The sequence below is a fragment of the Homo sapiens genome, chromosome 7 (assembly GCF_000001405.40).
Source record: "Homo sapiens chromosome 7, GRCh38.p14 Primary Assembly".
In the NCBI taxonomy this organism is placed as follows: domain Eukaryota; kingdom Metazoa; phylum Chordata; class Mammalia; order Primates; family Hominidae; genus Homo; species Homo sapiens.
In genome coordinates this window covers 77383148-77409031 of record NC_000007.14, presented here as the reverse complement: position 1 = coordinate 77409031, position 25884 = coordinate 77383148, and the positions used below count along the sequence as shown (strand labels likewise).

General features: G+C 39.2%; 1 protein-coding gene across 28 annotated transcripts in view, besides 1 other annotated feature; it reads left to right on the top strand.

Annotated features, from left to right (window-relative positions):
- Positions 1-25884, top strand: part of GSAP (gamma-secretase activating protein) — a 105880-nt gene that overhangs the window by 7599 nt on the left and 72397 nt on the right. For 23 of the 28 annotated variants that reach the window (NR_146938.2, NR_146937.2, XR_007060056.1 and 20 more), the window contains exons 2-6: positions 2927-3003; positions 4417-4473; positions 11617-11686; positions 11997-12050; positions 21584-21672. Coding sequence is in view for 15 of the 28 variants with exons in the window: in XM_047420487.1 (XP_047276443.1) it covers positions 2927-3003; positions 4417-4473; positions 11617-11686; positions 11997-12050; positions 21584-21672 (347 nt within the window). In the remaining 13 variants the exon portion in view is untranslated. Of the gene's footprint in view, positions 1-2926; positions 3004-4416; positions 4474-9494; positions 9565-11616; positions 11687-11996; positions 12051-21583; positions 21673-25884 lie in introns of those variants that run through there. The other 5 variants (NM_001350901.2, NM_001350900.2, XM_017012346.2 and 2 more) reach the window with 3 other exon arrangements.
- Positions 15290-16489: an enhancer, noted in NCBI's record as "P300/CBP strongly-dependent group 1 enhancer chr7:77021860-77023059 (GRCh37/hg19 assembly coordinates)". NCBI's record gives its function as "activates an origin of replication core promoter dependent on BRD2, BRD4, P300/CBP, MED14 and CDK7 cofactors, with strong dependence on P300/CBP, by STARR-seq in HCT116 cells {active_cell/tissue: HCT116}" and the evidence as "EXISTENCE:reporter gene assay evidence [ECO:0000049][PMID:35650434]".

The window sequence follows — 25884 nt, the reverse complement described above, 5'->3', positions numbered from 1 at the left end:
GAGACCCACTAAGCTGCTGCTTGTGAGGGGTGGGGAAGAGAGATCTCAGGATGATGTCTAAGTTCTCAGTGAAACCTGGTCTTCCTCTCTCTAAATGTTTCCCACCTCCAGCTCCAGTGCAGGTGTCCAGCTCACCAATTATCCTTATTTTTTATCTTGTCTTTTCCTTTTAGGAATACAGACAGAAATTTGCTGAGTTACAGATAGTTTGCATATGTTTTGTCTGAATATTAGAATTTGTCATAATCAATGTAATTAACATGTAAAAACTATTCCTGTATGGGAAAAATGAGTCAAATTTAAGCAATTTATCTTTTCTTTTTTTTTTTTTTTTTTTTTTTTGGAGGCAGAGTCTTGGTCTGAAGTGCAATGGCTCAATCCCGGCTCATTGCAACCTCCACCTCCTGGGTTCAAGTGATTCTCCTGTCTCAGCCTCCTGAGTAGCTGGGATTACAGGTGTGCACCACCGTGCCCAGCTAATTTTCTGTATTTTTTAGTAGAGATTGGGTTTCACCATGTTGACCAGGCTGCTCTTGAATTCCTGGCCTCAAGTGATCCATCTACCTCAGCCTTCCAAAGTGCTGGGATTACAGGCGTGAGCCACTGTGCCGGCCATAATTTTGGATAACTTTTGAGGAAATTGGGAAAGTACACACTTCTGCCCAATTAGTGATAATTACAATGGTGAATCTACCAGTGTTTAAATCCTTTAACTGTAGAATTAGGAGAAATATCCTAAAATTTTAGAAGAAAGATGGTCAGTTAACTTATAGGTTAAATGTTTTGTGTAAAGAGTCTGTATATCCTTCAGCAAAATAGGGCTTTCATATAGACAAGGACACAAGTTATAAGTTCACAGCTTAGTTAATTTTCACCAAGTGAAACACACTTATGCAACTAAGACTCAGAACAGGAAGGAAAACATTAATGGAACCTCAGAAGTCCTTCATGCTCCTTTCTAACAGTCACTTATCTAACACTGTACATTAGTTGTGCCCATTATTGAAAACTTGTGTATGAATTGAAACATACAATTTGTACCTTCTTTTGGTGGTGGGGAAGGTTCTTTTGCTCAGTTTCACATGTGTTATTGCAGAATATTAATTCATTGTTTTGTACTATTCCACTGTTTGGATATAACACAATTTATTCATTCTTCACTTAATGGATAGTTTGGGTTTCTGGTTTGGGCAATAATGTACCACAGTACTATAGACATTCTTATGTGTCCCTTGCTAAATATATGTATATATTTCTTTTGAAGATATATGTACAAGTGCAGTTGCTGAGTCATGTGTTCAGCTTCACTAGATATTGCCAGTTTTCCAATTTATACTCCCATTAACAATGTATGAGAGTTTCAGTTGCTTCAGATTTTTTTTGCATCACATAATACTAAAACATAATAAGTCAAGGATGCCTGTTACAACTTTTAGTATAACTAATAAAAGAATAGCAAAAACATATAACTGACAATAGGTAATAGAATGAAATAATAAACTTAGAAGAGTAGTAAAACAGGTGAGACACGTAGAAAACAAATAGTAATATGATAAATATCAACCCAATATGTTAGTAATTACATTGAATGTAAAAATGGACTACATATCCCAATTAAAAGATTAAGAATGTCAGATTGGAGGAAAAAATCTCAAGTGGATACTGCTTATAAAACATATCTTCAATATAAGGACACAGGAAGATTAATAACAGAAAGTTATGCAAGCACTAACCAAGCTGATGTAGTTATACTAATATCAGACAAAGTAGACCTTAAAGTAAAAATAATTATTAGAAATAAAGGACATTGTATAATGAATAAAGGGTTGCTAATCCAGCTCCTATATTAAAAACTTATGTGTAATTTTTCAGACCCAACTATGTGCAGTTACAAAGACTTTATCTGACAGGCCTTATGGGAGAAAGCTGCCCTCCCCAAATCCGACTTGGTGTGTGGTCAATGCCCTGTAGTCCCTGAAATGAGTTGTGCCTGTGATTCAGGCCCCGCTGGCCAGCCATACTCTTACAGATAGCTGCATCCCTAGCCCGGGTTCTTCATTTAGAGGCCTCTTTATCAGAGGCCTTTAGCAGAGACCTTTCTCAGGTGCCTCTAAACCACCAAAACCGCCTTAGCAGCGGGGAGAGGGGAGCTTCGAAGACTGTTTTTTCTCTACTCCAGTGAAATACTTTTCCACTCCTAGCTCTTCTCCCTCTCCCTACCCTCGGCTCCTGTATCCGTGATCCTGCAGGAACCTTTTTGGGAGGGTCCCTCGATAGTGAAGAGAGCTCCATATCTGTGCTGATTCACCTGACCCTTGGCTAATGGCACCATTCCATGGGGAGAAAATAGACCAGGGACATTAGCACTTTCTCTTGTTTAGCCTCTTGCTTTATAGCATCACAGTAAGTGATTAAAAGCTTGACTGTTAAAAAGTTAATATTAACTTTTTAATCTTGTTTTAATTGAGTACTCAGACACCTGGCAGCTCAGCTTAGAGCCTAACAGTGGTTAATCTACAGGAGGCTATAACAATTCCAAATTCGTATGCCCTTAATGATATATCCTCAAAATGCATAAAGCAAAAACTAATAGATACTTGAAATTTATTGTATAACATTCACACAGAAAAGAGTGTATACAGTTCAGTGAGTTATTGCAGAGTATATCAGTATACCCAAAACATTTAACATTACCAACACGTAACAAGGCTCACTTGAGATACCTCTCAATGACTATGGCTTTCTCCTTCCTTAAAGGTTACTACTGTTTGTACTTCTAATAAAAGAGATTCGTTTTGCCTGTTTTTAAGTTTTATATAATAGAATTATTAGTATATATTTATATTTGGCTTCCTTCACTAATATATTGGTTAGATATGTTTTTAACCATCTTCTGCTGAGTATTAACCTCCTATTATCATTTCAGATGTTTTAGAAAACGATTATGAGAGCTTACATGTATTAAATGTTGAAAGAAATGGAAATATTATTTATACCTATAAGGTATGTCTATATTCTTTTTTATTGTGGTAAGATGTAAAATTTACTGTTTTTAATCATTTATATTCTCTTTTTACAGAATTCTATACTGTATCTTATTGAAGGGTAATGAATAAACTTGTTGGCATTTAATCTTAACATATGACTTTGTGTGTGTGAGACTGAATAAAGTGATTGAAATTTAGTAGTATTAGGCTGGGCATGGTGGCTCACAATTGTAATTCTAGCACTTTGGAAGGCTGCAACGGGCAGATCACTTGAGGTCATGAGATCGAGACCAGCCTTGCCAACATGGCAAAACCCCGTTTGTACCAAAAAATACAAAAATGAGCTGGGTGTTGTGGCGCACACCTGTAGTTCCAGCTACTCAGGAGGCTGAGGCAGGAGAATCGCTTGAACCCAGGAGGAGGAGGTTGCAGTGAGCTGAGATGGTGCCACTGCACTCCAGTCTGGGTGACAGAGCGAAACCCTGTCTCAAAAAGAAAAAAAAATTTTTTTAAATATTAAATGTTTCTTCATTTTAAAATAAAACTAAACAGGCATATCTGACATAATACTCAAATTTTGAATCAATGAACAATTTCATTTTCTAGACAAAAAATGCCAAGTAAAAATGTTTAAACCTAATTAATATGTTAACATTTTATCATTGGAGAAAATATTAAATATGATTACTCTCTTCAGACGTAGATATGTTAGGACTTTCGAAGCATTATTATTATTTTGTTTTTAGAAACAGAGTCTTGCCCTGTCACCCAGGCTGGGGTGTGGTGGCACAATCATAGCTGACTGCAGCCTCAAACTCATGGGCTCAAGTAGGTTCCTTGAGCTCCTGCCTCAACCTCCCCAGTAGCTAGGACTATAGGCATGTGAAGCATGTTATTTAACAATGTGTTTTCAATGTCAAGTGTTCTAAGGAAAATTTAACTTTACTATAATAAGCACACATGAATAATTCAAATGGCCAGTTTGCTTTGCACAGTTATATCACTGTACTTTTTAAAGTAAAAATAATTATTTTAAGTTGTGTCTTAGAATGGTACCTTTAAGGAATTGTGTGATTCACAATGTTTTACTTATAAGAATGTTACGGACTTGTCCTAGTCATCCCTATTATCTATCATATGTGTGTGTTTTCAAAGACATAAGTGGAAGTATAAAAAGATTTACGCCCACCATGCTCAGTCCTACTAGACAGTTCCCCAAACTCACTGAGCTCTACACTGTTGATCCATTTCATTCTTTGAGCCCAAATGACTAGCTGAACTGGATTCAGTCCCCCTCTGACAGGCACAGAAAGCTTCTTTTAGAGTGCTTACTGCTAAGATTGAGTTATTGCAGGTTGGTTTTAAAACTAGTAACATTCTAACTTCCTAAACAATGACATTTAATAAACATCTGGTTAATTTTTTTTAGGATGATAAGGGAAATGTCGTCTTTGGATTATATGATTGTCAAACCAGACAAAATGAGGTAAAAATCATAGATTACTCATTGGTTACTTTACTGCCTTTAGAGTTTTCTTTGTCTCCTCCTTTTTCTAGATATAAATTCCAACTTTATTTTCTCTTTTTCTGTAAACATTTTATTTGAAAAAACAGAATTGCAATTTGAGGCATACACACAGACCAGGGTAGTCTTTGGTATGTCCAAAGAACTAAGAAAGGTTGGGGGTTTTATCAGAAAGAGAAATGTTACACATGGCTTTGAAAGAAAACTCATTGGCAATAGGAAAGTTTCCAGGAGCTGGCAGATCTCATCGGTGTGGGAAAGCAGTAGGTAAAACTAGTTTTAGAGCCATGGCAGTTTGTTTCAGCAGCTACTAGGTGAAGCTGTTCTTAAGTTTATGGCATTTGGTCATTTTGGCAGCTGGCTTGCACAATACCTGGGCAGGCCCTTGTGCCCTGTGTGCTGCTTTTTTCCTCTCCTGATCTCTTGATTTAACTCGATTGAGTATGACAGAATAACTCCAGTTCTTGTAATCAGTTATCACAGTACATGCAACAGTTTTATTCATTTATTTGTTGATGGACACCTGTTTCTAATATTTGCCTATTATGAACACTATTGTATACATAGGTATTTTTTAATTCTTTTGTGTGTGTATCTAGGAGTGGGAATACCAACTTTATTTTCTAAAAAATTATATTTCTTTGCTTTCCTTCTCTTCTCCCTTAACGATCTCTTGGTCCTGTTATCCTAAACAAAAAATGCAAGGACTATTGGACCACAAAGTGAGGTGAGGTCTCTTAGACCTTTGAGATTTAAGTAAAATTGGCTCAAACAAATTATTCAATATCCTCTAAGAAAGTAGGAGGTCCAATGTCCTTCTTGAGATTTGTGTACTCCCAGGTCATCCTATAATGACCTCTGACTCTTTCTGCTTCTGCTTAACCTTCACATGTCTTGTTTCTCATTATTTCTTAGTGATCCAGACAAGGAACCCCTTTCCTTATTTTTTTCCCCAAATTACTCACATAAGGCGTTGGTTGATGTGACAGGCTTTGTCTAATTCTGGGAGCAAATGGGAGGGAGTAATTTTGTACCTATGTAAAAACAATTTAGAATTGAATATTAGACATCTTTGAACTTAAATGTCCTTTATCCATTACAAATTTTTTACAGGTCACCTTACTCTTCAGGGTTCCAATACGCTGCTTGGTTAATTCTCTCTTCCCTTCTTCCACCCCTTTCACCTTTATTCATTAATTCATTCACCCATTCACTGATCCAACAAATAAGCATTGAGTGTTTTCCCTGTCAGGTGCTGGAGACACAGTGATGATCAACATAAACTCACAATACACAGTCTAGGGAAAGAGAATAAAATCTCAAGTTTTCAGTGCAATTGTTAGCTTAATTTCTGTGTGGCATGTATTCTAAAAAGGTGGATTGAGAGGAGACATCATAGTCTGTCTTCTGTCAATCCAGTTGTGGTGACTGCTGCTATCTTTTGTGGTCATATTCCTCTCTCCCAAGACTGTGAGCACTTGACAGTAGGAGCACTTTGCATACCAATGTGTTTTATCCCCGTTACCTTTAGCTTACTGCCTGTGAGTGGTAGGAGTACAGTGAATGTTTTTCACTGGATTGATAGTGATAGGTTCCCTCCAGAGTGGCTGTTTTTCAAAAATTTTCCAGTGACAAAGGTGCTTTGAATTCCAAAATGTGAAAGTTAGTCCAGAAAATAAATTGGCCAAAGGATAAATTAATAGGAAATTTAAACTAGCTTTGTAAACAGGCAAATTTTTCTTCTGAACCGTAGTCGCTAAACAAACCCTCCCCTTCTCCCATCTCTTCTCCACGTAGGCACAACCCTTACAGCCCATATGTTTTTTTTTTTTTTTACGGACCTTTTGATGGTTTTATTGAAGGAATGGATTTGTATACCAAATCTAGATGGGCTTTAAAATTCTTTTTTTTTTTTTTTTTTTTTTTGAGACAGAGTCTCACTCTATTGCCAGGCTGGAGTGCAGTGGCGCCATCTCAGCTCACTGCAACCTCCGCCTCCTGGGTTCAAGCAAATCTCCTGCCTCAGCGTCCCAAGTAGCTGGAACTACAGGTGTGTGCCACCACGCCCAGCTAATCTTTTTTTTCTGTGTGTGTGTATATATATATATTTTTTTTTTCTTTTTTCTTTTTTTTTTTTTAGTAGAGATGGGGTTTCCCATGTTGGCCAGGATGGTCTCAATCTCTTGACCTCGTGATCTGCCTGCCTCAGCCCCAAAGTGCTGAGATTACAGGTGTGAGCCACCGTGCCCGGCCTAAGATTCTTTTCAAGTACTGTATTTTTCCTTGGAAAGGTGCCACCATGAGGAAAGATGGTGCCATCAAGAGAAAAAAAAAATCTTTCTCTTGGTAATTGAGCTTCAGGATGGGATAACAGTGTCTGAGTCTTAATGCTTACCCATCCTTCTCTAAAAGTTTTTATTTTTTAAATTTGATAAAACTAGTAGAGTAATGTCCTGTGTACTCTTCACTCAGTTTCTCTCAATTGTTAAATCTTGTGTAACTATAGGATAATATATTAAAACCAATAAATTAATGTCGGTAGAATGTGTGCATATGGTTCTATGCCATTTCATTACTTGTGTAGATTCTTGTAATTACCACTGCAATCGAGAAAGAGTTATTCCATTTCTACAAGATCTATTGGTGTTGAAATTTTACCAGTTCGAATGAAGTGTGGAACTATTATCTCCTTTTGAGTCTCTTTACCTTTCTGTGTTTTTGATTGTCTTCGATATTTCCTATACATTCTTTAGGATCCTCATCAGGCAATGTTATACTTTTCGCCCTGATTGTCAAACATAATTTAGAAAACACAGGAGAAGGAAAGTCTATTGTGTTTACCTATATATTTGCTCTTTCCATGGTTCTTTCTGATGTTCTAAGGTTCCTCTTTTATCATGTCCTTTCTCTTTCAAGAACTTTTTTTAACCATTTTTTTTAGGGTAGCTATGCCGATGACAAATTTTCATAGTTTTCTTCATCTGAGAATGTGTTTTTTTCCTTTCATTCCTGAAGGATAATTTTGCCAAGTGTAGAATTCAGGATTCATAGTTCTTTTTGTTCCTCTCTTGAAAAACATGCCACTTCCTTCTGGGTTCTCTGGTTTCTCATGAGAAATCTGCTGTCTTTTGAATTTTTCTCCCCCCCATATAGATGTCACTTTTTTCTTTGCTGTTTTTGAAAAAATTTTTTTCTTTCTCCTTAGTTTTCTGAAGTTTGATTGTGCTGTGTCTTGGTGTGGATTTGTTTGGATTTTGCCTGTTTGGGGTTTACTCCGCTTATTGAATCTGTAGTCTCTTGCCAAATTTGGGACATTTTTAGTCATTAGCCAATATTTCTTGAAGTATTTTTTCTTAAAGTTCCAATCTGTTTCTCTTTTCTTTTTATGGACTCTGATTACAAGAATGGTAGATCTTTTGTTACAGTCACCCGGATCTCTGAGGTTCTGTTTCTTTTATTTTTTGATTTTCTGTTGTTTAAATTAGGTAACTTCTATTGTTTTCAAGTTCACTGATTGTTCTGTCCTCTCCACTATGTTGTTGAGCCTACCCATGGAGGTTTTGTTAAAAAAAAAAAAAAAAAATTGGTAATTGTATTTTTCAGTTGTGAAATTTCCATTTGTATTTTTCTTTATATATTTCTTGCTGAGACTTTTTTTCGTTTGCTTCAAGCATGCTTGTAATTACTTATTGAAGCATTTTTATGACCGTTTTAAAATCTTTGTCAGAAAATTCCAATATCTTTGTTATCTCAGTGTTTGTGCCTATTGTTTCCTCATTCAGTTTGAGATCTTCCTGGTTTTTGGTATGACATGAGGTTTTCTATTGTATGTTAGACATTTCGAGTACTGCATTATGAAACTCTGGATGTTTTTTAAGTCTTCTCTTTAGCATACCTCCTGTGATAATTTACCTGTTGGGGAATTAGCGGGGTTGGTGGTACAACCTACTACTGCTAGGTTGTGCCAGGGGAAGGTCCAGGTTCCCCACTTGGCCTACTTGGACACCCCAGTGGAGAGAAGTGTCTTGTTATGGCTAGACAGAGGTGGGATTTCAGTCTCCCCACTTGGCCTCCACTGATACCACAGCAGAGGAGCAGGATGGGGGAAAGGTAGGTGAAGGCCTCATTATCATTAGATGGTAGTGAAAGTTTTGGTTTCCCATTCAGCCACCTTGGACACCATCCCAGTGAGGAGGTGGAAAGGGAACTCTTTACTACTGGGTCTGGGTGGGAGTCCAGGATCCACGTGGATTTGCTTTCACTCTTGGTGGGGGAAAGCTTGTTTACCACTGGGAATGGTTGAAAGTCCTGATTTCCTACTTGGTCTTCTTTGATACTCTTCTCGCAGAAGGGGGAAGGCTGCCTTGTTAACAGCTGGGCAAAGGTGGGAGTCTAAGTTCCCCATGCAGCCTTTGCTGGTAGAGATGGGAGTGGGGTTGCATTTTCTTTTGTGGTGTTTGGCTGGACTTAGGGTGGTTATAGTAAGAAAGTTTCTCTCTTGCTATGTTTCCTCTTTCCAGTTCCTTTGGCTAGAGAGCATGGGTGTGTGTTTGTTTTTGTCCGCTCCCATCAGTATTTCTGCTGTTTTCACCTCTTTAGCTCTGAGTCTAGGCTATATGACACAAAAGGAAAACCCAGGGAACTCACCAGTATGTCATTCATCAGGATCTGAGGTCCCTAAAGAGTCTGCTGCCTTCTCTCTGCATTTCAGAGTCGTCATTGAAACTTAAAAAATATATGTCCAGGGTTTTAAAACTGTACTTGGTGGGAGCAATAGGGACAAGTGGGTTGACTTCACTTTGCCCCGCCCCCCCCCACCTCAAGTTTTGAGTTAATGGTCTCACCCTGCAATATGCAAATGGGAAGCAGTGTATTACTTATGCTTCCCATTAGCATAAGTAATGGGATAAGCATAAGCACGGTCCCAATAGCTTTCCTTCCTCACCCTCTTCTACCTCTTTCTCCCACCTTCTGTCATGTAGGACTTCCCTGGTAGTGCATACAAGAGTGAACATGACCTAAACTGGTTGGATACAAGAGAATACTTTGCTGGTAATTTGGGACATGGACTCTTCTCTTTTCCACTGGGTTTGGTGATAAGTGAATTCACTGGGTTGGAATTGCTGTGGCTTTGGGGAATAGAACTTGGAGCTCTATTGTGTGGAAGCTGACAAATGTATTGAACCCAGAAAGCTAGGAGAATGTATATTTCCAGCTCTGGATCAAGCCAATACTGAAGTAACACCCCATTCTGTTCAATTTCATGAGCCACTAATTGTCTTTTTGCCTAAGCTAGTTTGGGGAAGATTTTTTGATGCTTGGAGTTAAAGACTTCTGATACTTGCACACCTATTGACCTAGAAATTCCACTTTGAGGTTTTGATTCTACAGAAATATCTGCACAAATTCACACAGGTTTATGTAAAAGGTTCATTGGATTATTATATTACCTAAATGTAGGAGGCAAACTAAATGCCCATCAGTAAGTTTTTGGAAATTGATACAGCTATTAAAGGATTAAGAAGTCTGTAAATGTTACTGGTACAGAAGTCTCTCCAAAACATGTTGTTACATGAAAAAAGCAAGTTGTCAGAATAATACATTCCATTTATGTTTTTAAAAAACTTGCAATGTAACTGTGTAATATAAGTGCATAAATATAGAAAATTTATAAACATGCTTCCTTTTGGAAGAGAGTTGGGATTGGCTGAGTATAAAAGACTGTCATTTCTTTTGACCTTTTTTTTTGTTTGAGACAGGGTATCACTCTGTCACTTGGGCTGGAGTGCAGTGGCACAATCACGGCTCACAGCAGTCTTGACCTCCTGGGCTCAAGTAATCCTCCTATCTCAGCCTCCCAAGTAGCTAGGACTACAGGCATGCCACCATGCCTGGCATATTTTTTTAAAAACTTTTGTAGAGATAGGATTTTGTCGTGGTGTCCAGGCTGGCTTTGACTTTTTATTTGATAGTGTTTGAATCTTTTAAACATTGAGATTATACTTACGTTATCTTTGTAATTAAAAGATAACAAACTAAAAATTAAGTGTATATACCCATTCTTCTTAGTAATAATTTAGAATTAGATTCTTCTTAGTAATAATTTAGAATCCCTCAGTTAGAGCAAGAGTCAAAGGAAACCGACAATTCTCACATGAATTCAGTATCTGATTAACTGAAAGTTCACTTTCTGTAATCAATTGTTCCCTAACTTTCCCAGCTTTTCCCATCAACTTCTAGCTATAGGGGTCTGGTGTGTTTTCGATACTTTTTTAGTGTGCAGATACTAGTAACCTTCTTAATACTTACACTATTTACTGTTTCTCTTAGTCGGTTCTCTTCTGAGGTCGAAGACTGTCTCTTTCCCTTATCCTCTGGGTGTTCTTTAAGAGAGCCTGCCTAATAGAACTGGTGTTCTCTAGTTCCTCAATCTCTACATCACATCCTCCTGCATGGGCATTTTCATTTTCTTTAATATTCAAGAAAATGGAATCTTGGAATATTTTGAACATTTTAAACAACAACAAGGAAAAAAAATTAAAGAAGTCTACCTTCCCAGTCCTCTAAATATGAAAGGCCTATGGGAGATGCACTTGTGACAGTGGCTAAGAAAACTAATGATTACTGAGGTAATTAATTACCTCAGTAATTACAATAGCTAACATTTGAGTGCTTATTGCACTAAGTGCTTCATGTAGATTATCTCACTTGATCCTCCTAACAATCCCATGAGTAGATGTTATGATTCCTATTTTACCAATGGGGGGATAGAGAAGCTGAATAATTTATCCAAGGTCACGCAGCTAGCAAGTGATAGAGTCAGGGTTTGAACCTGGATCTAGCTGGGCTCCAATGTCTATGCTGTTAACCACTATACTTGGTTGTCTCATGGCTAAATATCGGTGCCAACATGGCTTACAATAGCAAACTTTTTTTTGGTAAAGAGTACTCTGGAATGTGTCAGCATAGCTAAACTAGTTTGATTCTTTACCAAAATATTTTGCCCCAGTAATACTTAGCACAGAGCTTAATGGGAATTTATGTTCATACAATTGTTATTTAATGTATGAAACTTCAAATTAAAAAATATTTTTGTTTTAATAGCTTCTATATACCTTTGAGAAAGACTTGCAAGTTTTCAGTTGCTCTGTCAACAGTGAAAGGACTTTGCTTGGTAAGTTGAGCTCTTATTGCTACATGTCAAGAACTGAACTACATCTTTCAAGAGTTTCAAAGTATTAGATTTTTGCAGTATTAAATTATTCTATAACAATAATTTCCTAGGAAAGAAATGTTCTTGAGAAGTTAAGTTTGAAATAAAGAATGTAGAGGATATACCTACAAAAAAGAATGCTTTGTGTTCTGCCCTTATCTTCCGTTGACATATCCTTTGAGCCCTCATCTATTTCAGGTTTAAACTGGTAAACTTTAACAAGCTACCATATGGATCAATTGCTAATGGATTTTTTTTCTTTTTCCATTAGCTGCAAGTTTAGTTCAGTCTACTAAAGAAGGAAAAAGGAACGAACTTCAACCAGGTAATGAAATTACACTTTTTAGTACCTATGGGTAGATGAAGGTTATTGGTAGATGATTTATTATACTACCAAATCAAATTTCAAGCATCTTTAGAAATAGCCTTATCGTATCTCAGAATAAAAGGCAAAGGTCATGTCAAGCATGAAAAAGACTTAAAAAAAATTTTTTTTTCAAGCAAACAGAAAAGGACAGACAATGTTCTAACAGTGATTCAGCAGAAGTATTAAGATGGTAATTAGTACCTGCAGGCTAAATAAATGCTGAAGTAGAAACCTATGGTCAGATGTTGGTATAAAAGATAGGGAAAGTCAAGAATGCATCTTTTCTTATATCTGGTTAGGTATTGATTAATACCTAACACATTGTAAGTACTACACCAATACTAAAGATTAATTCTGCTCATTTGCCAAGGCCCACTTTATAGTTTTGTAGCTATGTGATGCTCCCTGGCCCCTCCCCACCACCTTTTAAAAACTGCTGTAAGTCATCCCTCTGTCTATAACTCAACAGTATTGAGTGCCTGCTGGGGGTCAGGCATTATGCATGGTACTGGGGATACAATGGTGTGTAAGAGAGGTATAGGCATCTACCCTCATGGGGCTTTCAGTCTAGTCTGGGGTTTCAATTGCAAATGCATACATTGGCCAGAGAGACCATGTAAATATGTGAAGCAGATTGAATGTAAGAAAAAAATCAAGTGACCAGCAGAATGTCTTTGTTTTTTTTCCATTTTTAACATAGAAACCAAGAAATATTTTTTTTCTTTAACGAAAAAAAAAAAGTTCAAGAGATATAGGGACTAGTAGTAGGGTAGGGATGCCCCATGGGGGACTTTCAAGAAGGGGAGCCACTACTCAGCTCTAGCTTTTTGTTGTCACTAGCAAGTCCAGTGGAACTGGCTTTTCAATTTATCAAGGGAAGTCTGGAGCTTTTTGTAAAGATCGAATTTGTAAATGTTGGCTTGAATCTATTTAAAAATCGTACTTGGGACAATAATAACCACCTGTGGGCTGGAGCCAGCCTGTGATTACCATTTGTCAACTTCTGGCCTAGTGGGTCTCCTATCAATCTCTTACTATTCTGCTCCCAGGTGCTTTCCATCTGTTCTGTTTATTTGACACTTAAATTCCTTCTTTAATTACTTCTTTTGTTAGCATAGTTCCCACTCAGATGTATTTTCCTGCCATTGCATGTGATGGAAAAACCCTTTGTACTTACTTTCCACATGAGGCTTGTGAGGCACTCCCAGGCTTCTCATGACACACATTTCCCCAGAGCCTAGTCTGCAAGGGACCTTCTTGGGGGCCTCAGTAAAGTTGTTTATGGGAGATTTGGTGGGCAGGAGGCTCATCTGAAATCTCATCATTTGTATTGCTCATCCTTACCCTCCCCCTGCCATGATATACTGAGAACAACCCCTTCCGTCTTTGGTGCCATGTCCTCCTTTTCCCAGTACTGTCAGCACTCTCTGCTCCTTTTAGAATTAAGTGCAGGGCTTGCTTCAGAGGAGATGGAACTGGAATAGCTTAAGTGAAATACGATCTGGGACATTAGTGTTCTGACCCTTAAAACAAGGGTATGGGCAAAACCCCAGGATATGGCTGTGACCTTTGGGCTAATAGACCCATTTCTCCAAGAAGAGGAAAGGCCTAGCTGCTGTGTTCCTGGAGGTGGTGAGGGTGGGCATCTGTGTAGAAACTTGGGTTGGCTCCTGTGCCTCCCAGTTCTTCTTGAGCCTTATTTTTTTAGCCTTAAAAATTCTTTATTGTGTTGGGAAACTGAGTAGTAACTACATTTTTTACATCTGTCTATTGTTCACCATCTATGCCTGACTGTCACACAGAACAGTAGTCCTTTATGATTATGTAGATTATAAAATTTACTTTCAGGCCAATTTTAAATTTTACCTGATTACAACATTAAAGTCTATTCAGGGATGCTTGCTCAGTCTTGTAAGTTTGATGCACTTATAGTGAGATGATCTGCTTGCATCTTTAGAAACAGTGCAATGAACGTTATTGGTTATTGTGTTGGATACCTCACAACTTTATCATGTTGGCCAGCTCTGCCTAGGTGTAGTGAGACAGTGCCTTGCCTCAGCTGCCCTACCTGTGTCTTGCTTTCTGCCAAGGGCACTTGGGAAAATCTATTTACTGCCTACACATGTACAGCTTGGAAGTATGGTTGGGCATGATGCCCAGGAGAATAACCCATGACCAATGGTGGCAAGGAGCTGAAAGATAAATGGTCTTCCTTTCCATCTCTAAAGTGGGTAATTGTGAGGTGTACTCCAAGCAGCTTAAAATCCAAGGTGGTCACTAATTTGATAATGCCCCATTTACTGGTATACTTTTCTTCCCTGTTTCATTTTTCCCAGTCTCTTATGCCAATGCTGGCTAGAGTGATCCTAGAGTTATATTGCTCCCTGAGATAAGTTCTTATCTTAGTGTGAATTTCCCCATAACTGTGCCTGAAGCAGAGATTTGAGTCCAATTAATTTATCTGGGGAATGATACTAGGAAAGGCCATTAGGGGAATGTTTAAACAGAGACCTGAAGGTGGGGATGGAACAAGCACGAGGCTATGGAGAAAGCACATTTCTGGCAGATCAAACAGTCATCACAGGACTATACTTGGTAGACTCGCTGTTCAAGGATAGTGAGGAGGTCAGTGAGATGAGTGGAGTGAACAAGGGGCAGAGTGGTAGGAACTGAGGGCAAAGGAAAAAAGAGGTGAGGTGCAGATGGATCACGTAGACTCAAGGAGGCCATTGTAAAGGTGTGGCCCTCATTCCTAGTAAAATTGGAAGAGATACGCATACTGAGCAGGGACATGATCTAACTTGCTTCATAAAAGGATTGCTGTAGCTGCTGCGTGGAAGATGGACTGCGGCAGGGCAAGGAGAGAATTATTACAGTCTAATGGCTTGGACTGGTAAAGTGAAGCAAGGGCTAAGTGGCTGTGTTTGGCTGTATTCAAAAGATCGACTTGTCAAGATTGGCTGCTTGGCCAGGCACAGTGGCTCACGCCTGTAATCCTAGCACTTTGGGAGGCTGAGGCAGGTGGATCACCTGAGGTCAGGAGTTTGAGACCAGCCTGGCCAACGTGGTGAAACCCTGTCTTTACTAAAAATAGAAAAATTAGCCGGGTGTGGTGGCACACGCCTGTAATCCCAGCTACTTGGGAAGCTGAGGCAGGAGAATTGCTTGATCCCAGGAAATAAAGGTTGCCGTGAGCAGAGATCGTGCCACTGTACTCCAGCCTGGGTGACACAGTGAGACTCTGTCTCAAAAAAAAAAAAAAAAAGAAAGTATATATGTATATATATATGCATGCATGCCGCCGGATTTCATGGGAACATAAGAAAAAGAGACAAGTCAAGCGTGACTCACTTTAAGGTTTTTGGCTAGAACAGGTAGAAGGGCATGTGGGTGTGTATGTGTGTATGGGAGGGGCAGGAAGGAAGAGTTTCATTTTGGACTTGCTCAGTTTGACATGCCTAATAGACATCCCAGTGGAGATGTGAGGTGGAGTTTGGAGATGAGTCAGAAGGCCAGGTAAGAGGTCACGGCTGGAGAGGCACATTTAGGAGTCATCAGTATATGAAAGGTATTGCTCATCATGGGAAGGTTTCATTTTGTTCAGTAAAGATTTCAGATGATGTAACCAGAAAGCACTATAGGATTTATTAGAATGTTTTATTTGAACGAATATTTTGGAAACGTTTATTTTGTCTGTCCATCAAATGGCCTTACAAGCCATTTGATTATAAGATGTGGTTTGTCTCAGGTGGGGTTTAACACTGTTGCTTAAAATAAGATTTTTCCACTGTAGATGAGACAAATTGTACCATTTTTTTGTAAACAGGGTTCTTTGATCCACATACTTTACAATGCAGTTTTTTTTTCTTTTTTTAATCAGTAATGCTCCTTTTCTTGGCTGTAGAGATGGCAGAGTGAATATTTTACTGAGAAAATGGACTTCCATAGGAAACCAGGCTCTGGCTGTCCCCTTCATCCTCCCCTGTGGAGTTGCATTTGCCACAAGTCACAGCAGATTTCCACTGGGCAGCAATTGGGGTGACCATATGGGTCAGGGGCCCCATTGCCACTGAGATTTTCCAGAACTCCCTCTCACCATCATAGACAGTCAAGTGTCACAGATGCTCTGTGAAGCTGTGATTCGGTTCAAGAGCTTGAATAACCAGAGCTCCTTCAGAACCAGGCCATATTGAACTCTCCCATCCTTGTCACCATTTCACAGCATGTGCCTGGATCACACCATGGTCTTTTGCTCACCTCCGTTCTCCTCATGTCATGTCTATCCCTCTGCCTGATCCTGCTGTCTCTCCTTGTGGTATCCAGATATTGCCTGGTCTTGTCTTCCCCTTCAGTGATGGTCTCCCAGTCTCCACTGATAATCTTTTCTTTTTTGAGACAGTGCCTTGCTCTGTCACCCAGGCTGGAGTGCAGTGGTGTGATCTCAGCTCACTGCAACCTCCAACTTCCGGGTTCAAGCGATACTCCTGCCTCAGTTTCCCGAGTAGCTGGGATTACAAGTGTGCGCCACCACGCCTGGCTAATTTTTTGTGTTATTAGCAGAGAGGGGATTAGTCATGTTGCCCAGGCTGGTCTTGAACTCCTGAGCTCAGGGAATCCGCCCACCTCAGCCACCCAATATGTTAGGATTACAGGCATGAGCCACTGTGTCCAGTCTCCACTGATATCTTGATTCTCAAAATTCTTTTTTTTTTTTTCCTGAGATGGAGTCTTGCTCTGTCACCCAGGCTGGAGTGCAATGGTGTGGTCTCGGCTCACTGTAACCTCCGCCTCCCAGGTTCAGATTCTCCTGCCTCAGCCTCCTGAGTAGCCAGCACCGCAGGCATCCACCACCACTTCCGGCTAATTTTTGTATTTTTAGTAGAGACGGGGTTTCCCCGTGTTGGCCAGGCTGGTCTCGAACTCCTGACCTCAGGTGATCCACCCGCCTTGGCTTCCCAAAGTGCTGGGATTACAGGTGTGAGCCACCACTCCCGGCCATCAAAATTCTTAATTTAGCACCTCATAGAATAATGGGATTTTATGGCTGAAAGGGATTGTAGAAGTAATCTGGTTCTTTGGTCTTTCATTTTATTCTGATTATTTTTGAGACAGGGTCTTGCTCTGTTGCCCAAGCTGGGGTGCACTGACATTCTTATGGCTCACTATAGCCTCGACCTCCCTGGCCCAGGTGATCTTCCCACCTCAACCTTCTGAGTAACTGGGACTATAGGCACACACCACCATGTCCAGCTTGTTCTTAATATTTTTTTCATTTTTTTGTAGAGATGGGGTTTCACTATGTTGCCCAGGCTGGTCTCAAATTCCTGGCCTCAAATGATCTTCCTGCCTTGGCCTCCAAAAGTGTTGGGATTACAGGCGTGAGCACCTTGCCCTGCATGTTTTATTATGTTTAATAATGAGGCATTGAGGCCTAGGAAAGCTTGGTGATTTGCTGTGAAGTAAATACCAGGATAATGGCAGAACTGAAACTAGAACTGATGTCTCTAGAATCTTAATTCACGATGCTTCCTTTTTCACTGTGAAAGCACATGGTATGTTATTGAGAGAAATTACTATTTGCAAAGGTTGGCTCTTATTATGCTAGTAGTATTAGTCAAATGTCTGGGTTGTACTTGAGAAGGGAAAAATTAGTGTAGAAAGGTGTTTTCTGCCTTCAAAGATCTTCCCATTTTAAAGGTAAGAAAATCTTGCTGATAGCTGGCTGTCTCCTTTGGGTACAAATTCCTGCTTAAAAAAAAAAGCCAAATATATGGTTATTCTTTTTCTTTTTCTTTTTTTTTTTTTTTTTTTTTTGAGACGGAGCCTCATCTGTTGCCCACGCTGGAGTGCAGTGGTGTGATCTCAGCTCACTGCAACCTCTGCTTCCTGGGTTCAAGTGATTGTCCTGCCTCAGCCTCCCGAGTAGCTACAGATGAGTGCCACCACACCCGGCTAATTTTTTTTTTTTTTTTTTTTTTTTTTTTTTTTTTTTTAGACGGAGTCTCGCTCTGTCACCAGGCTGGAGTGCAGTGGCGCAACCTTGGCTCACTGCAACTTCCGCCTCCTGGTTTCAAGCGAGTCTCCTGCCTTAGCCTCCCGGGTAGCTGGGACTACAGGCGTGTGCCACCATGCCCAGCTATTTTTTTTTTGTAATTGATTTGTATTTTTTTATTTTTTATTTTTATTATTATACTTCAAGTTTTAGGGTACATGTGCACAACGTGCAGGTTTGTTACATATGTATACATGTGCCACGATGGTGTGCTGCACCCATTAACTCGTCATTTAGCTTAGGTATATACCAATGGAACAGAACAGAGCCCTCAGATATAATGCTGCATATCTACAACTATCTGATCTTTGACAAACCTGACAAAAAGAAGAAATGGGTAAAGGATTCCCTATTTAATAAATGGTGCTGGGAAAACTGGCTGGCCATATGTAGAAAGCTGAAACTGGATCCCTTCCTTACACCTTATACAAAAATTAATTCAAGATGGATTAAAGACTTAAATGTAAGACCTAAAACCATAAAAACCCTAGAAGAAAACCTAGGCAATACCATTCAGGACATAGGCATGGGCAAGGACTTCATGTCTAAAACACCAAAAGCAATGGCAACAAAAGCCAAAATTGACAAATGGGATCTAATTAAACTAAAGAGCTTCTGCACAGCAAAAGAAACCACCATCAGAGTGAACAGGCAACCTACAGAATGGGAGAAAATTTTCGCAACCTACTCATCTGACAAAGGGCTAATATCCAGAATCTACAATGAACTCAAACAAATTTACAAGAGAAAACAAACAACCCCATCAAAAAGTGGGCGAAGGATATGAACAGACACTTTCTCAAAAGAAGACATTTATTCAGCCAAAAAACACATGAAAAAATGCTCATGATCACTGGCCATCAGAGACATGCAAATCAAAACCACAATGAGATACTATCTCACACCAGTTAGAATGGCAATCATTAAAAAGTCAGGAAACAACAGGTGCTGGAGAGGATGTGGAGAAATAGGAACACTTTCACACTGTTGGTGGGACTGTAAACTAGTTCAACCATTGTGGAAGACAGTGTGGTGATTCCTCAAGGATCTAGAACTAGAAATACCATTTGACCCAGCCATCCCATTACTGGGTATATACCCAAAGGATTATAAATCATGCTGCTATAAAGACACATGCACACATACATTTATTGTGGCACTATTCACAATAGCAAAGACTTGGAACCAACCCAAATGTCCAACAATGATAGACTGGATTAAGAAAATGTGGCACATATACACCATGGAATACTATGCAGCCATAAAAAATGATGAGTTCATGTCCTTTGTAGGGACATGGATGAAGCTGGAAACCATCATTCTCAGCAAACTATCCCAAGGACAAAAAACCAAACACCGCGTGTTCTCACTCATAGGTGGGAATCGAACAATGAGAACACATGGACATAGGAAGGGGAACATTACACATCGGGGACTGTTGGGTGGGGAGGGGGGGAGGGATAGCGTTGGGAGATATACCTAATGCTAAATGACGCGTTTTTTTTTTTATTTTTGTAGAGACGGCATTTCACTATGTTAACCAGGATGGAAACAAAAAACAAAACAAAACAAACAAACAAAAAATATATATATATATACACACACACATACTTTTAGGTCAAAAAAATATATATATATACACACACACATACATACACACACGCATACTTTTAGGTCAAAAAAATGTCAGTTCGTGCTATTTAATATACTAATTTAGTCATACACATTTAAGATAACAATAAGAAAAATTCATTTTCCCCCCCACATACTCACCTCTCAACAGAGCATTTCTATTCTATTTTTCTTCACAAATATCTTTGACACCAATGTCTTTCTTATTCCTGGAGCCATTTTTTGAGTCATCAAGTAGATTCCCAAAGTAACTCATCCATACCCTTGGTTGTAAGATCCTGTCACTAGGATTTTCATCCTAAGCCACAAGCACCCATTTACCAAACATTGGATTTCCATTTGTTCTGTAGTATGTATATTATATGATTCAATATAATAACTCACTTACTGTCTTTTTCAAGTAATATTTAAAAGGCATGTTTATAGATAGATCCAGACCTTCCAGTTGTTAGGACATAGCTCAGAAATTGTTTTACGTTCTTTGCTTTTTTCAAAAAATAAAGCAGTGCTCTCAGGTTGCTTTCTTAAATATTGAAAACTAACACTGATTAAATTCCACGCTTCTGTGCCATCCCCAAATTTTGTATATTATTTTTCACAGTGAAGTCACTGAGAGACACTGGATCATATTAGAGTCTCAATAAAAGCTCAAATATAAGGCCAGTCCTTCTTTTCTACGGTGTAATCTTGGGGGAAGGGGAACCTTGACCTAAATTTAGATATCTTTGGTAACTCCATGCGGGGAAGCCTGTGTCCATGGACTTCCTCCTGATTGCTGTATTTTATGGCATTTGCTCAGATGTGACACTGAAGAAGTAAGTGGGTCATTATCAGTGCTATACCACTGTCCCTGAGGGAAACCCAGCCTGTGTCCTAATGATAGATACTGTCAGCCTTAACATGTTCATGTATCAGAAATCTTTTTATTTTCCTACACAAACAATATTTGCCATTGTGCTGCCGAATTGGAGTGACAGAGAATCGCACTGTGTTTGTTTAGACTTAAAAGCCTAGAGGGCTTGTGGAGCTATGCTAAAAATGGCATGGAGTGAGTACAAACAACTTCTTCACTCCGTGCACATTGATTTCTCCCTTGAGATCTTTTCTGTGTCTCTGTTGAATTTGTAGAAATGTCAAAGTCAAACTTTAAAGTCAAACTTTAAGAAAATCACCTTTTTTTCCCCCTGGTAGAATAGCTAATACAATAGTTAGCATATTTATATTTTCAGAAAGTTCAGACATGTCTGCTTTTGCAAATCATAGAATTGTGATAATTGGGAAAAATGATATCCATTAGAAACCCGTTAGGCCCTCTTATATGTTGCTGGTGAGAGTGCAAAGTAATATACAGTGATCTTTGAATTCAGAAGCCACTTGTGTTTTAAATGTGATGCTTTTCTGTAAATGCAGAATTCTTATAATCTGAAATTTGTCTCCCTTGTATCTACTGTTGTTTCCAGGGCTGTTCAAAGACTTCCCTTTTCACATTTGCATTTCTTGAGTATCCTGTGGTTTTCATAATAAAATGCAGCTTCTTCAGGGCTCCTGAGGGTGTGGAAGGCAGGTCCTTTGCTGGGCTGATTGCTCTTTTGGGGTCCTGGAGCCGCTACACATCCTAGAGAGTAGAACTGGGAACAGATTTACAGTTTCAGTCTCCTCACAGGACTCTAGGATGGTGGTAGAATTGTTTTATTAGTTTATAGTCACTGTAGTAGGATTTACCGGAAATTGTTCTTACTCCTTGCTTTGGAAAAAATAATGTGTGATATTACAATCTTCGTTACTAAAAGCCTTCTTTTCTCTGTAGGATCAAAGTGCTTGACTTTGTTGGTTGAAATCCACCCTGTTAACAATGTGAAGGTTCTAAAGGCTGTGGATAGCTATATTTGGGTTCAGGTAAGTAAGCATGCCATTTATCACTTATCTCATTAATCAAAAGGCATGCAGCCTAGAAGAATTGGGGTTTACAAAGTACTTTCACTCTATCATATTTAATCCTCAGAACAGTCTTGTAGACTACTATGGCTGGAAGTATCCGCTCTTTGTTTGCAAGCATGGAAATTAAGAACTCGAAGCTAGCTCCACCAACTCTGTTTGTTTCTTAGTAATGTAATATTTTCTCATGATAAAATATCAAATATTAAAACACATTTAAGGTAAGCTTTAAAATGGTCAATATAATGTATTTGCATGGTTGACAGATTAAGTATCTATGGTTAAATGGCTTAATCCCTGAATTTATCAACTTCATGAGTTGATGCAGAAACTGCATGTATAATGTAGGTGGCATAGATACAGTCATTCCTCATTATTTGCAGATTCCATATTTGCATATTCTGCTGCTCCTAAAATTTATTTGTAACCCCTAAATTAAACACTTATAGTACTTCGTCAGTTATTTGCAGATACATGCTGAGTGGTGAAAGAATTTGTCACCCAACATGCACATTCGCAATTGAGGTTGAACACGGTGATGCCCTGCCTTTTTTGCTTTAGCTCTCATACTAAAATGACAGTTGTTTTCATGGCCTAGTTCCATCTTTCAATTTTTGTGCTTTTTCCTGGCGATTTCACAGTTTAAACGGCTTCCAGGAATAGCGCTGAGGCACCGTCTAGTGTTCCTAAGTGCAAGAAGGCTGTCAGATGCCTTAGGGAGAAAACATGTGTTTCAGATAAGCTTCATTCAGGCATGAGTTACTATGCTGTTGGCCATGAGGTTAAGGAGTGTCTTTAAATAGAAACACACAAAACAAAATTATATACTGATCTGTTGACAAACATGCTGTGACTAGAGGCTTCCAAGAATTTATCCTTGTTTGGGTTTGGATCATAATCCCAAAAGACAATCCTGAACACCATAATCCTGAATGTTGAAATCCTGAAAGGTCAAAAGTCTACAGTCCCAAAAGCCATGATCACAGGATAGTTAGTATACACGAGTGTCTATACTTTCAAAACTGTGTATGTTATTATTGCCTATTTTATTGTATAAAGTGGACTATGAAGTGTTCTTTTGTGTTTTGCTTCTCAGATAAGTCTTCTTTTAAAAATGTCAATACATCTTTTAAATAATTTTTAAAATTATTTTCTTCCAGAATTATATTTTTGGGATTTTGATCTTTTGGGATTTCAATATTTAGGATTATGGCATTTGGGATTGTGTCTTTCAGGATTATGATCAACTCCCTTTGTATTTCCCTAGAAACAATGGTTCAGTATTCAGTATACGACATTTGTGGTGACTTTACAGAACATAACTACTGCAAATAATTTGAATGAACTGTGTGTGTTCACACAGTGCTACAGCATAATTTCCTTTCGCCTAATTTCACATTTTGTTACAGGGTCAAAATATCATTTCTTTTGGTCTAGCCAGAGTCAATTTGCACCACTCAAAGTATCTGCCTTTTTGTCCCCCAAGCTATTACCAGCCTCCACCCTATGGGCCTCCCTATTCCAGTGGGTTAGGGGAGAGGGTTGTCTCTCTCTTCCCAGGGTCCTCCCCTGTCAGCCAGTCCTTTCAGCTGCGCATTTCCCCGCCACTCCTGACAGCACTGTGGTCGCTCCTCAATTCCAGATATGGCCTGGCCTGAAGCTCCCAAGCTGCATTCTCCTACCCTCAGGAAGCTACTCCGTCTACACTGTCATCAATGTGGGGAGGCTGGGGACAGAGCACACTTCTCTTTTCTGGTCTGTTCTTTGGCTTCCTTAGCATCTTGTTAGGGCCATATAGATGGTAGAGACATGACTGAAGGATTGGGGTAACTAAAGGGAATTGGAGCATAGAAAGGGGAAAAGTTTTTAAAAGCAAGTGGTTGTATACATTGCGAATATATTAAAATCTACCAAAAATTGTATATATTAAAGTGGTTAAAATGGTAAATTTTATGTTATGTGAACTCAGTTTTAAAAAGTTAAAAGTGGCTGGGCGCAGTGGCTCATGCCTATAATCCTAGCACTTTAGGAGGCCAAGGAGGGCAGATTGCCTGAGCTCAGGAGTTTGAGACCAGCCTGGCCAACGTGGCAAAACCCCATCTCTACTAAAAATATAAAAATTAGCTGGGCGTGGTGGTATGCTACTGTAATCCCATCTACTCGGGTGGCTGAGGTGGGAGAATTGCTTGAACCTGGGAGGCAGAGGTTGCAGTGAGCCAAGATCGTGCCATTGCACTCCAGCCTGGGCAACAGAGCGAAACTCCATCTCAAAAAAAAAAAAAAAAAGTTAGAAGTACATGGAACAGGACAGCATCTATAGGCCAAAGGAAAAGTCCCAACCCAAATAAAGTAAAACTTGTACTAATTCTGTGGACCCATCTTAGTCCCTAGCCCTGCCTTCTGCCCCCATGTCTCTGCCTCTGGAGAGAGAAACTCCTCTAAACCCCAGTGGCAAATCCCCGCCTTCTCCCTCCTGCCTCTAGAGAAATGACATCTACTGTCCATTGAGTTGGTCTTGCCCTGGGATCAATTTCCTTTTTCTTACAAAAACATCCATGGTGATCTCCAGCAGCACATTTCCCTAACTCTGCATGTGTAGTCTTGACAACCTACACAGAGGAGCTTCAGCAGGAGTGGCAGGTGGGGCTTGGATCCCAATCCGGGACCCTTTGAGTGTTTCCTTCCAGCACAAGGTGTGTCTTCAAGATAGTTCCAGTGGGTAATTACACACCCTCTACACACCGAGACTACAGACCTCCAAAGACCAATATTCATTCTAAGTCTAGCTCCATATTTGTGAAGATAAATTTTTCAAAGTAAATATAATCTGCATAGAATCCTACTTACAATACAAAAAAAATAACCTTGAGTGCTTTTGCAGAGCTGTGTCTGAATCCTGTCTACTTTTGGCTTCCAGGCCTTACTCTAGGACCACCTTATAATAGAAAGAAAAACAACACCTACCTGAACGGGACTTTTAAAATAACATTCTCCCTGATTGTCACAGGAAGACCAGGCAGAGGTTTAGAGGTTGGCAGTTACACCTCTTCAGCACCTCAGTCCATGTCACATTCCTAAGCAGGCATGCCCTGGCCACCTCTGTAGACCGGGAGGCCATACCATCTTCCATAGCAGCAGATATCTCCATATTTTGAGGCACTGAACATTTGTTCTCCCATCCTATATGTGGTGTCATTCATCTCTGCTTTTCCTCAACTCTGGTATACAAAGTATCTTGTTTGATGTGTGACATTTTACAAATTATGAGACAATTAGTTCTGTATTATTTTTGTAGCTGAATTCTGCATTGCTATTTTATAATTTTGACTTTATTGCTGTGAAGCATATGTTTTGCTTTTCATTTCTAAAAGGGAACTCAACTATAAATGTTCCAAAATTTGACTAGTACTATTTTTAATCTGATATTATGCAAAGGTAGGACACTAGGAAATAATAAAAAATTGTCCTAAGTTTAGTGAGACTAATGACTCGGAGATTGGGACATAAAAGTTGTGCCCTTTTATATTACTTTCAAGTTTTGGGTGAGGAAAAGAACAAAATTCACGGGTCTTTCATGCTGCAAAATGAAATGGCTGGTTTACAATTGCCCTTTTGAGTCATCCTGTGACCAGTTTTTCCTCATTATCACAGCCGACGGGGTCAGGACTTGTGTTGCTGGCAGCCTACTTTGTCCTGCAAACAGACACATAGTGGTGGGCTTATATGGGAGAGCACAGAGAAGGAGGAATGGGGTGGATTTAAGCCTTTTCTTCCTGGTGACAGTCGTTCTGTGCTTTCAGACTTGTAAATTCTCAACTCATGTGGCACCATGACTCACTGTTCTTTCTTGACAAATTCTGGTTATGTTGTGCTTTGTCTCTTGGATGTGGAACTTTGGAAGCTGTCGTGGGGAATATATTTACTTGGCTCTCAAATTATATACTAGGTTTAGTTGCACAACGACTATATCGACCTCTGTGTGTGTGTGTGTGTGTGTGTGTGAAATAGAACATTTTGTATAAATGTTGTTTGCATTGTTTCTGATTGGTTTCAGAATCAAATATTCCAAATAGGAAGTACCATCCCTAGAATTAGCTTCAACCTTAACATTTACTGTTTATTTTACTTTATTTTTAGACAGAGTCTTGCTCTATCACCCAGGCTAGAGTATAG